This window comes from Homo sapiens, chromosome X (assembly GCF_000001405.40).
Source record: "Homo sapiens chromosome X, GRCh38.p14 Primary Assembly".
In the NCBI taxonomy this organism is placed as follows: domain Eukaryota; kingdom Metazoa; phylum Chordata; class Mammalia; order Primates; family Hominidae; genus Homo; species Homo sapiens.
In genome coordinates, this window is record NC_000023.11 from 74,282,401 (window position 1) to 74,294,692 (window position 12,292).

Here is a 12,292-nt window from a genome sequence, read left to right on the forward strand (position 1 = left end):
TACAATCTCAACTCCCACCACGACTCACCTTACCTTAAGTGAAAAGGAATTGAACATTATCTGCTCCCTCACCCAGCTGTCTGGGTTATCAATAGGACCACAAAAAGCTAGGCAGACCAGTGGCTATGCCCCTAACTCCAAGAATCAACCACTGGAGTAACAGGCTCGAGTCATGAGATACAAGCCAAAGACCATCAAGGAGTCCTTTCTTTCTTTCTTTTTTTGAGACAGTGTCTTGCTCTGTCGCCCAGGCTAGAGTGCAGTGGTGTGAGAGTAGCTGGGATTACAGGCACCTGCCACCGCGCCCGGCTAATTTTTGTATTTTTAGCAGATGGGGTTTCACCATCTTGGCCAGGATGGTCTCAAACTCCTGACCTCAGGTGATCCACCCACCTCAGCCTCCCAAAGTGCTGGGATTACAGGTGTGAGCCACGCTGCCCGGCCAAAGGGTCCTTTCTTTCTAAGGAAGCAGCCTATTGCCTGTAAGTTTCTCAGTCCCTAGCTGCTTAGCATGAAAAGTAACCCAGAAATCTGGCAATTCAGCAATGGCCCAAAGCCCAGGTTACTGTTATTATTATATGCTGGCAGCACAAGCCAATACTGCTAAGTGTCCTGTTACTCAGTGAGATGAGGGCAACCCTCAACTCAAACCCCTGGAAGTCCCAAGGAGCAGTTACCCAGGACTCATTTTTAACTGTTTTACCTACCACCAGCAAGAAAGTATCTGTCCTCTAATCTACTAGTGACCATGAGACCCAGGCAGAAAGTTCTCCCACCATAGATAGGGAAGATTGGTGCTGCCTAGCTGAGAGGAGAGGGGAAGCAGGAGCCTTGATAGGTTTGAGCCATCTCTTTATTGGAGCAACTAAGGCCACCATTTACTAGAGCAAGACTTGCATATTCATAAGCAGCTGCTGCCACTAGCAATTATTGTAGCTTTAAAGCCCAGAGGGACAAGGGCAGAAAAGGAATGTGTAGAGGGCCTAACTGTGAAATAAATGAGAAGTGTAAACACTGATCCAGAAAATGCTTGCACTAAGGAGCCAGGAATAGAGGGGTAGGTGGTAGTTAGTGCCTTCCTCTGAAGGCAGTGATCTTATTTCCACCATTCCCTTCCCCCCACCCCACCCAGTTCTTTTCCAAACTAAATTTCTCCAGTTTCCAGAACCCCTCACCACCCCCATTTATTCCACTTCTGTTCAGGTCAACAATTTCAAAATGGAAATAGTTTCAATGTGCCTCTAACTTTGATAGTCATAGATGAACACTGCAAAAAAAAAAACAAAATTCCAGAACTATATTAGGCAAAGAATGTAAAAATCAGCCAGAGTCCAGGCGCGGTGGCTCAGGCCTGTAATCCCAGCACTTTGGGAGGCCGAAGCGGGCGGATCACAAGGTCAGGAGATCGAGACCATCCTGGCCAACATGGTGAAACCCCGTCTCTAATAAAAATACAAAAATTAGCTGGGCGTGGTGGCGCATGCCTGTAATCCCACTCGGGAGGCTGAAGCAAGAGAATTGCTTGAACCAGGGAGTCGGAGGTTGCAGTGAGCCGAGATCACGCCACTGCACTCCAGCCTGGCGACAGAGCAAGACTCCGTCTCAAAAAAAAAAATCAGCCAGAATCCCAGAAAAGTTTAACACTTGGGGTATGTTCATCCAACAACTTCCATGTACATACACAAACATGAATTCTTATTTTACAATGATTAGATGAAACTATACTATTGCCCTTTAGCCCTTTTTCAATTAATATACTGTATACTTCTTTCCAAGTCAAATATTTATCTTCAAGACTATTTTTATTTTTAATGGCTATGCTGTCCCATTACATGAATACACCAAAATGTATTTAACCAAGTTCCTATTCATGACTAGGTAAGTTTTTCCATTATTTACTGTTATGAACACCGTGAATATGCCCATATCTAAATCTTTTTTTAAATAATGTTAAACATATATTTGGGGGTATATCCCTATAAATGAATACAAATCTTACAGTGTAAGAGATTTGCAAAGATCAGTAAAACACATCTCTACCCTTGAGTTTAAATCAAAGGAGAGAGACACAAACAGGTAACATTTACCATTATCATGTCCATGGATAAAGATAAACAAAATTTCATGGTGCTTCCTAATTGAAACTGCAGCTGTTGCTAACAGAAAAGGCTCAAAGAATACTATTAGACAGTAGCCCAAATTAAAATTCCATTTGCTAGAATTCCAAAGTTATTCTAATGCTAAATATTGCCTCATTGGCATTTCAATATGACATTGTTGTTTCTCCTTTAGCAAGCCTTAAAGGAGAGAACCAAGCAGAAGCTGCTCAGAAAACCACCTACCCTAAAGGCAGAGAAGTGAGTAAGGTGCAGGGCAGTATATGACACTGGACCTGGACTTCCATCTTTCCTTCCCCCTACTATTTCCAGTAAACAACAGTGAGCTATAGCCATTTTCTTTCAGAAACAACGTGGATTCTCTCCCTGGGACTCTCATTCCTGCACAGATCTGCTTACACATAGTTGGGCTGTGCTGGTATTCATGCTGACTTAGAAGACAAAAATAAGAATGAAAAGAAGCTTTTTCAGCACCATGATGGGTCAGATACAGATGACATTAACACAGAAGACAGACAGATTTTTAAAACCTATTCAACAAAGATGAGTTACTGTGATAACACAAACAGTCCTGAATCTTATAGTAACATTTCAGTCACAGGCGCATATACAATGGTGGTCCCATAAGATAATAACACCACGTTTTTACTGTACCTTTTCTATGTTAGATATGTTTGGATATACAAATACTTACCACTGTATTCCAAATGCCTACAGTATTCAATACAGCAACATGCTGTACAGGTTTGTAGCCTAGGAGGAATAGGCTATACCATATAGCCTAGGTGTGTAGTAAGCTATACCATCTAGGTTTGTATAAGTACACTCCCCTATGATGTTCACACAACAACAAAATGACTTAATGATCCATTACTCAGAACATATCCTGTCTTTAAGCAACACATGACTGTATAGTTAAATGTTAATTATAAAATCTAGGTGTTGGGTACATGGCTTTTCACCGTACAATTCTTTCAACTTTTCTGTATGTATGTTTGACAACTTTCACAATACAATTTTGGGAAAAATCCAGCAAGCAGCTTTAAAAATATGGCTGTAAGACCTTTCCTTCTATTATATTTTATTCCTAGGATGATCCTATCCAACGAGATGAACCTATTCAGTGTTTCCTCCATTTTGTTTTAGATTTAGCTTTCTCAAATATGACTTTGAGCTCTCCGACTTTTTAATGAAGTGAAATGAATCAACATGTATTCATAGGCAGGTTACCAAGATAGTACATGTAAAGTTGGGGAGGCACAAGGGGAGGGGCTCTAAGCTCTTGGAAGTCTAGGCTCACTATCTGTATACATCTAAATAAATGAGTATTTCAGACACCCCACTTCTTCATTTAAAAATTAGTGTTAGGGACCCTCTAAACATTTGCCTCAGCTTACCTTTCTGCCTTATCTCACATTAAGTCCTTATTTCCCATATTCTCATTGCAAAGAACTGTGTAGGAAGGAGGGGGGCAAGGACGAAGGCACCAAAGCATGCTATGTCCACGTGCTTCAAGTTTGAATATAATAAAAGGTATTTCTAGAGTAGAGGTTCAAAGCTTGATGTTGAAGGGCAGGGTATAACTGACTGACTGCAGGACCCTGGGGGAGGTCTTATAATCTTCTACTTTAAAACATGTCTTAGCTGGCTTATCTGTAAAAGAGGAAAAAGACTTGTCACAAGCAATGACAAATGAAGTAAATAAATATGAATTTCTGGTCTGGTGAATGGAATGAGAAATGAAACCATCACTGTCGAGTGATGATCCAGAGTGGGCACAGATCTTTTTCTACAAAGGCTTTGTGGGCCACAATGTCTCCAATATATTTAATGGCAAAAACAGCAACTACTTTTGCACCAACCTAATAGCTACTTAATTGTGCCACTGGGCCGCAAAAGCGGCCCCAGGTAAAACATCGATGAATGAACATGGCTGTGTTCCAATATAGAATGGTATTTACAAAAACAGGTAGCCCATGGGCAATAAAGTTTGCCCACCCTTGGTTTAGAATATGGAGTCTGGTTGGGTGCAGTGGCTCACACCTGTAATCCCAGCACTCTGGGAGGCTGAGGGAGGTAGATCGCTTGAGTCCAGGAGTTCAAGAACAGCCTGGGCACCATAACGAGACCCCTTCTCTACGAAAAATACAAACATTAGCCAGGGGTGGTGGCACACACCTATAGTCCTAACTCAGAATGCTGAGGTGGAAGATCACCTGAGCCTAGGAGTTCGAGGCTGCAGTGACCCGTGTTCGCACCATTGCACTCCAGCCTGGGCAACAGAGTGAGAACCTGTCCCTTAAAAAAAAAAAAAAAAGAAAGAAAAATGCAAAGTCCTATCTAAGAATACTATTTGGATGATTACCTGGGCCCTGAGGATGAGGCCCCAATCTAACAGTTATCACTCAAGTCCCACCAAGAAAGCAAGTGTCAGCAATAGCAACAGTTGCAACATCTGTAAATATCAAGGACTGAAATCCAAACACAAAAATGGCATTGTCTCATGAGAAACTCTTAGGAAGATATATACAGAAATATCAAATTTCTGACCACATGCTTTTTGAAGAAACAGCTGACAATCCAGAGCCTGTGGAGCTCACTTTAGCAGGCACACAATAAATGTTTGCTGATGAGTCATTCATTTATTCATCTAATAAACATTTACTGAGGCCTACTAATGTGCCAGGCTGGGCTCTGGAGATGAAGACACCTTCCTTGCCCTCAAGGAGCTCACAGTCTAACTGATAACAGGAAGAGAGACAGGCATATACACAGACAATTACAATACAATCTGATAAGTGCTATAACACTTATCAGGTTGTATTATAATGGCCGATGTAAAATTTCTTCCCAGGGGGTGCTGCTCCAGGCTGCTGCTGGCTGTAACATCAAGAGAGGTGAGGAACAAATTATAGAAATCAAAGGTTAAATGCTTTTCGGTTATTTCAAATATTCAGGCTTTCCCTAACCCGTGGCCATAGACGGAATTGGGAACTAGACACTGGCATGATGTAAAATGGGACTTCCATGCACAGACTTCCAATAAAGGAACTTCTCAATCCCCTCCTCTAAAATATGAGCTTTTTTTTTTCCTTTTTGCTTATACTCCTCTTAACCTCCCCACCCTACTACCCACATGAGCCTGGTTTAATATCTACAGCTAGCAAAATGCTGAAAAATGGGAGCTTACAACTAACTGGATTAACCCAGTGTAACCGGATAGCAAAAAGCAGTAAGTAATAGCTCATTTGGCACTTCTAAATCCAATAATCCTCATCCTTCACTGGAAAAAAAAAGTTAGAATGTTATTAAATACAAAATAGATAATATACAGATCAGAGTAGGAATAAGTTAGAAAAGTTTATTTAATAAACATAATTAAACAGATTCTCTAAACTAGAAATAACATTCAGTTTCAGGAAACCAGAATTAGACCCCTCCAAGACCTTTGAGAATATCTAATTCACCTATGTATTATAAACAAGAAAAATGAAACAGAGAGATAACACACTCTGCCCACTCCCTTTTCAAAATCATGTGAGTGATAGTAACAGACTCCTTGAGGCAAGATTATTACTGTAATAGTTATTTGGTTCAGATGGTTTTATACAAAGATAAGATGGCATTTTTCTGTGCCTCATACCTTTCTTAATAATACCTAGGTTTTTACTGGCTTTTTTGTCTCTGACCAGCAAATAGGGCTGATAACATCAGCAAGTTGTTGACAGTTATACTGAGATCACTGTTTTGGGACCCAATGTCTCTATGAGGCTGTTATTTAATAAGCTTAACATACTATTTTCCCCTAAAGTTATTTCACTGCTCTTGCCTATACACTGTTCCTTTCTGCCAATTAGCCCACTCCTGGTGCCTTCTCACATGCTAGCGTGTTCCTATTAGCATTTCACATCCCCAAAGCATTTAACAGTATGTATAAATGTGGACACTTCAATATTGCCCATATCCTCCCTCAGACCACTCAGAAATATTTAAAATAAGACCAGTCCCTGAATGGATGGGGGAGAAGGGACCGCTGTTTTGTTTCTTGTCTAAATTAGTTTCTCATTAGGGACAAAATGTTGCCCTGTCTTCTCCCCATGCCCAGAGCCAGGAAGCACCACTGTTGTACAGTACTCAAAAGTGCTTTCCTTTTAGATAAAAAGAAATGGATTTCTGTTTAAAGGTCAGACAAGGCTGGGTAAGGTGGCTTATGCCTGTAATCCCAGCACTTTGGGAGGCGGAGGCAGAAAGATTGCTTGAGCCCAGGAGTTCGAGACCAGCCTGGGCAAGACCTCCACTCTAAAAATAAAAACAAAAATAAGATAGAGGTCAGACAAATGTTATCTCAAAATGGCTACCAAGAACCAGACATGTATCCACACAGCAGTTATATTTGGAATTGCAAACATTTCTTCAGACTCAATGGCAACAAATATTACTGGGAGCATATCTGCAACAAACGACATTTGCAACTTACAAATAACATTCAGGCACAAATTGAATAATTCACAAAAGGAAATAAGAGCTAGTAATTAAGATCTAAAAGTCCAGCCTCACTAATAATCAGAGAACTGTATCACAAAACAAAGATATCGGCCAGGTATGGTGGCTCACCCCTGTAATCCCAGCATTTTGGGAAGCCGGGGTGGGAAAATCACTTGAGCCCAGGAGTTCAAGACAAGCCTGAGCAACATGGCAAAACTCCATCTCTACAAAAAAATTTAAAAATTAGCTGGACATGGTGGCACACACCTGTACTCCCGCTACTCAGGAGGCTGAGGTAGGAGGATCTCTGGAGCCCTGGAAGTTGAGGCTTCAGTGAGCCATGATCACGCCACTGTACTCCAGCCTAGGCGACAGGGGGAGAGCCTGTCTCAGAAAAAAACAAAAACAAAAAAACCCCACAGAGATATCATTCATTCATTTACATATGGAGTCAGCAAAAAAAAAAAAAGCAAAAACATTTTTTATAAGTACCTAAATGACTGGGTACAAAAACTGACATTAATTTTTTGAAAAGTAAATATGCCAATTCTTTATAATGTTCAAATCTTTTGACAAATAACTAATTCTAGAAGTCTCTTCGATAAACAACCCAAAATAAATAATAAAAACCAAATGAAAAGATATTCATTACATAATTTAAAATACTGAAAATCTGTAAAATACTTCCATACAACAGAACATCATGAAACAATGACAATTACAAAGAATGTTTAACATGGACATGCGCATGTTATAATGTTAAAAACAAAACACAATATAAAATAGTACACATATATTATCAACTGCAAAGAAAAATGCAGAGAATGAAGTGAATAAATGTATTAACAATAGTTATCTCTGGGTGGTAAAATCATGGATGTTTTTTCTCCCATGCTTGATAGTTACCCTCAGGCAAAGTTACAATATTTACCAAATTTCTAGACTGAGGGAGCTATTCAAATTTAAACAATAGAATAAAAATCACAAAATAGAAGATAAATTTGTCAAATAATTTCAAATCTCTACTAGCCAAAAATTTAAAGACAAAAATTAAGAGGCAAACAATAACATGGAGTAGGTATTTATAACATTACAAAAGTCTGAATACTAATCTTTATTTACAGAACACAAACAGATAATAATAAACAGTAAACTAAAACTTCAACGCATAAATCAACATAAGATATGAACTATCATTACATGAAAGAAAACTGCTGAGATATATATGGAGGAAGAAAATCCAAACTAATAGGCAAACGAAAAATTAATACTGGTTTTTATCCATTAAAAATTAAAAAACAACAACATTCAGCGCTTGTATGAGTAAAAATTGATACAACCTTTTTAGGAAGAAATTTGGCAATAGATACTGAGAGTTTAAAATGTTCATACCCTTTGATGTACTAACTCCACTTCCACGAATGTATCCTAAGCAAATAATAAAAATAAAACAAATGTATTTTCAGTCTTTTATTACAAGAAAAAAGACAATAACCTTTCCATCACTATTGTATATTTAGATCAACACGAAATACTAATAATGGGTTAAAAAAAAAACTACTGCAGTAAATGACTGGTTAGATGTCTCAAAGCATTAGATCAGACAGAAAATCAGGCAAAACAAGAAGGGTGTGTCCAGCCTGCCGCAGTCGGCCATTTTAGACCCTCTGCAGAACAAAAAGCACAGAAAACAAGGGTAGTTAAGGATAGCCACCCCACTAGGCACCAAATCAACAATTCTTTATCTTTTGTCTCCTAGGTATGTAACCCTGTAGTCTGCACAGTCAGAAACAGAAAACAGGTCTTCTTTCTCAAATGGTTTTGGTTAGTTACAAACAAATTTTGAAATCATAAAAGAAGGTTCCTTTAAATTCGCCCCCTCTTTTTAGGGAATAAAGCATAATGCTTAAAAGCACATGCTTCTGGAGCCATCCCACCTGGATAAAAACCCAGTCTCAGCCATTCAACTGGCTGTAAAGCCTTGAACAAATTAGTCTCGTGTCCCTCAAATTTCTCATTTGTATAAACTTAATAACAGTACTGTGTTTCGTAAGATTGTCGAGAGTACCAAATGAGTTACGGCCTATGTAAAAGCACGCAGACCAGAACCTCGAACGTAGTAAGTGCTATTGACGTTTAATCATTATTACAGATAGAGAAATAGGCCCAGCAGCCGGGCGTGGTGGCTCACGCTTGTAATCCCAGCACTTTGGGAGGCCAAGGCGGGCGGATCACATGAGGCCGGGAGTTCGAGACCAGCCTGGCCAACATGGCAAAACCCCGTCTCTACTAAAAACACAAAAATTAGCCGGGCGTGCGCGCACCTGTAACCCCAGCTACTACTTGGGAGGCTGAGATATCAGAATCGCTTGAACCCGGGAGGCGGAGGTTGTAGTGAATTGAGATCGCGCCACCGCACTCCAGCCTGGGCGACGGAGCAAGACTCTGTCTAAAAGTAAATAAATAAATGAGCGAGAGAGAGAAATAGGCCCAGAGAAGGAAAAGGACCACCATGAAATAATAGCTAGGATTACTGGGAAAAGATGTTTTTTTCAGTTTTTAATCCTGTGCTCCTTCTAACTATGTCTGTATCTAAGTGCTAACTTACTAGTTTTAGCGATTAACAGCAAGTCTTCAGAGAGTCATGACAGTACATCTGCCTTTAAAATAGAAACTCTAATCTTCTCCCTTGACAAAACCGTGCTGAAAGTTCTACAGAAGAAAAAATAAAGGAAAGGGTGAAAGCCCAGGTTACCTTCATACCACCACTGCCATTAACTACTTTTCAATCTTTCTCCACGACAGTATGAGTCCCAGGCAGCCATAGGTCCAAATTCCAGGTTTACGGCAAAGAGTAACAAGCATTTGGAAACACATCCAAATCCTCACGCCTATGTTCTCAGGGAAGAAAATCAAGAGCTTTCGGCCAACATTAACATTGGATTCTCACACTACAACCACAGTGTTTTGCTACTCTGATGGGGTGACTGTATTCAGAGCCAAGTACAGCGACCCAAGATCGGAAAGCCAGAGAGCCCTCCGAATGCGTACTGCCCAAATGTGGCCTGTCTCCAAGTGCTCCCTTTTTACGCATTTCCTACGCACCGCCAGCTGCCGCAACCTTTTGCAGAGTCATCATCGCCTCCTCATTTTTGTACCCACTTACCGATAGGCCACTGAGAGGCTAAGATTCTGGGTTAATTTCTAGTGGATCTGGCCACAGCATAGGAGAACTCCAACTCAGGTTGATCCCTTCACTCAGCTAAAAAGGTAGTTCTCTGCAAGGCCTGCTAGCCCAAGATGGCCAAGCAAAGACAGCTTACCTCCCCCCTCGCCATTTTGCAACCTTAATTACCCGAATGCTGAGCGCCTCCCCTCCCCGGCACTCCGTCTGAAATACGCATGCGCGCCGCTTCCTCCTTACCGTTCTCCCCAACCATCCAGATGTTGTCTCAAATATGCATGAGCGCCACCTCTACCTCCCAAACGCTGGTACCAACTCCTAGCAACTTTGCGTTGTTAAATATGCCTGCGAGTCCTTCACTTCCCGACCTTCCAACCCTCCAACCCCGACGCCATTCAAGCCTTGCGCATGCGTGCCTCCCTCTCCCCACCCCCGCCCCACTGGAGCCCGTCCCCTTAACTCAGGTCTTCTCAAATACTGTAAGCTTGAGCGCCGCCCCTCGGCGCCGCGCCTCCTCATCCAGCCTCTCAAATACCCTGCGCACCGCGATAGTCCTCTCTCTTCTTGCTCCCATTTGTATACAGTATGCATGCCTGATGCTATCTGGACGTGTTTCTCGCCACAATTCTGCCCCAGTGCCCAAGGAGAGCCATTACCAGCCTTCCCTAATGCGAGTAGATGCGATAAACTAGGGAAGTTGAATCGGGGAAAGAAGGCGTTGCAGGTGATCAGAGTGAATCCCAGATCTAGATGGAATCGGTCCCAACTCCAAGGGAGGGGGCTAGAGTACCCCAGGATTCACATAAGACCGGTCAACCTGAACAAAGGCAAGGAAAACTTTCACAAACCATCGGATGAACATAATCCTAAGGCCTCGCCCTTTAAATACATCTGCTACAAATGACGAACCACAAATGTTTTAAACAGGGAACATTATGGAAAACACCGATGCTCAGGTGCCTTGACTCTAGTTAGAGGAAAGGAACCCGCATTCCTTTCACAATGGGAAGCAAATGCTCAACATCCTTTTGGAAAACTGGGGCCTGTAACGTATTCCATTTTTTCCTCCCGTGAACTGGAAAAATGCACAAATTAAGGATCTTCCTGGCCCAAGTTCCCTCCGCCGCCCTCCATGTTCTGTTCTTCCCCTACATCGTTCCTTTACCTCCTGGTTGAATTCAGTGTCGTAGCAGGAATTCTTAGAGCTGGCCGTCCCAAGATGGGGTGGAGAGAGCGGCATGAAAGAGAGAGAGAGAGAGAGACACGCCTGAATGGCAGCAGCAGGCCTTAGCGGCAATGGACAGCAGGCACAGGACCAGCTTTGCCTCGAGCCGCAACGCTGATGCCAGAAAAGGACAACCTCTCCAGAATCGCCGCAGTGTGCTTCCAGCGCATGCGCTGCTAACGCCCCTTAACCCCCCCTCCGCGCCCCGCCTCCCCCACGCGCCGCTCTCCAGCCTCTAGGAGTCTAACCCTTAGCGGTCCACCGACCTCCTTCACTTCTTTCCCAGGACGCTATCCCACTCTGCTTCTTCCACCTTTCCCCTCCCCTCGGTCACACTGGCCTCCACCATCATCCCTCCCTCAGCCCATACTTCTTTCGTCAATCCCTCTCCCATTATTCTTAGCCCACCATCTACCTTTATTTCCTCTGCTATCGTTAGTGGTCTACCCTTCAATTCTTCACTTTCCCTGCCAGTCTGCAGCCCTCTTGGGCCTCTTACTCCTCTCCTCCTATGCCTGATGTTGAAATTTGTAAAAATTACCGCAAAAATTTTTTTTTAAATAATTGTAGCCCGGGCGCGGTGGCTCACACCTGTAATCCCAGCACTTTGGGAGGCCGAGGTGGACGGAACCCTTGAGTTCAGGAGTTCGAGACCAGCTCGGGTGACATGGCGAAACCCCGTCTCTACAAATAAATACAAAAATTAGCCGGGCGTGGTGGTGCGCACCTGTACTCCCAGCTATTCAGAAGGCTGAGGTGGAAGAATCACTCGAGCCCAGGAAGTCGAGGCTACAGTGAGCTATGATTGTGCCAGCTATGATGTTGCCAGCCTGGGCAACAGAGTGAGACCCCATCTCAAAAAAAGAAAAAAAATATTTCCACACATCCTCTCCAAAGCAGCTCTCAGGGTGAGCTCAACCAGCCTGTCTTGGGCAAAGAGAACACCTTTTTGATGATGACCCACAGGGAAGATCCAGAGACAGGGAACCAGAACAAAAACTGCAAAAGTGTTCAATCAATTTGGGGGTAAGAGGCAGTAGACCACCAACATGGAAAGCTCTTTTCTTTCTATTCACAACCCTGGTATTGTCTGGACATTAAAAATGAGATTCAATGTCCTTCACTGCTTACTACAAGGCCTGTTCTTGTCTTCTGTAAGAACTCAAATATTAATTTTGAGGGAAATGGCATTATTTACTTAAGAGGCTCTGAAATAGATCCCTCTTTGGGTGTGAACTAGAAAGAATACAAAATAATATTTTGTTTCTCTTTATTATGTTT

The 12,292-nt window shown here is 42.2% G+C and overlaps 2 long non-coding RNA genes and 2 other non-coding genes across 5 annotated transcripts in view, besides 3 other annotated features; all 4 read right to left on the reverse strand.

Moving 5' to 3' along the window:
• The window catches only part of FTX (FTX transcript, XIST regulator), a 265,439-nt gene extending 254,265 nt beyond the window's left edge, over positions 1 to 11,174 (reverse strand). Inside the window, exon 1 of the long non-coding RNA NR_028379.1 lies at positions 10,952 to 11,174. This is a non-coding gene — a long non-coding RNA (FTX transcript, XIST regulator). The remainder of the gene's footprint in view (positions 1 to 10,951) is intronic.
• Positions 1,310 to 1,919: an enhancer, noted in NCBI's record as "H3K4me1 hESC enhancer chrX:73503545-73504154 (GRCh37/hg19 assembly coordinates)". NCBI's record gives its function as "activates a minimal SCP1, AML or CMV promoter by ChIP-STARR-seq in naive H9 embryonic stem cells {active_cell/tissue: H9 hESC(naive)}" and the evidence as "EXISTENCE:reporter gene assay evidence [ECO:0000049][PMID:30033119]".
• MIR545 (microRNA 545) lies at positions 4,704 to 4,809 on the reverse strand. Its single transcript, NR_030258.1, has one exon. It is a non-coding gene; the product is annotated as a microRNA 545 (primary transcript).
• Positions 4,886 to 4,957, reverse strand: MIR374A (microRNA 374a). The gene has a single exon (NR_030785.1). It is a non-coding gene; the product is annotated as a microRNA 374a (primary transcript).
• On the reverse strand, positions 5,465 to 10,196 carry LOC124905199 (uncharacterized). Of its 2 annotated transcripts, none has more exons than XR_007068266.1 (2): positions 9,358 to 10,196; positions 5,465 to 8,030 (listed from the first exon to the last, which is right to left on the reverse strand). It is a non-coding gene; the product is annotated as an uncharacterized LOC124905199 (long non-coding RNA). The 2 variants fall into 2 exon arrangements; XR_007068265.1 differs by lacking the exon at positions 9,358 to 10,196 and adding an exon at positions 9,211 to 9,351.
• Positions 8,055 to 8,846: an enhancer, noted in NCBI's record as "NANOG-H3K27ac hESC enhancer chrX:73510290-73511081 (GRCh37/hg19 assembly coordinates)". NCBI's record gives its function as "activates a minimal SCP1, AML or CMV promoter by ChIP-STARR-seq in naive H9 embryonic stem cells {active_cell/tissue: H9 hESC(naive)}" and the evidence as "EXISTENCE:reporter gene assay evidence [ECO:0000049][PMID:30033119]".
• Positions 9,638 to 10,428: an enhancer, noted in NCBI's record as "H3K27ac hESC enhancer chrX:73511873-73512663 (GRCh37/hg19 assembly coordinates)". NCBI's record gives its function as "activates a minimal SCP1, AML or CMV promoter by ChIP-STARR-seq in naive H9 embryonic stem cells {active_cell/tissue: H9 hESC(naive)}" and the evidence as "EXISTENCE:reporter gene assay evidence [ECO:0000049][PMID:30033119]".
• Positions 11,175 to 12,292: the final 1,118 nt, after the last annotated feature.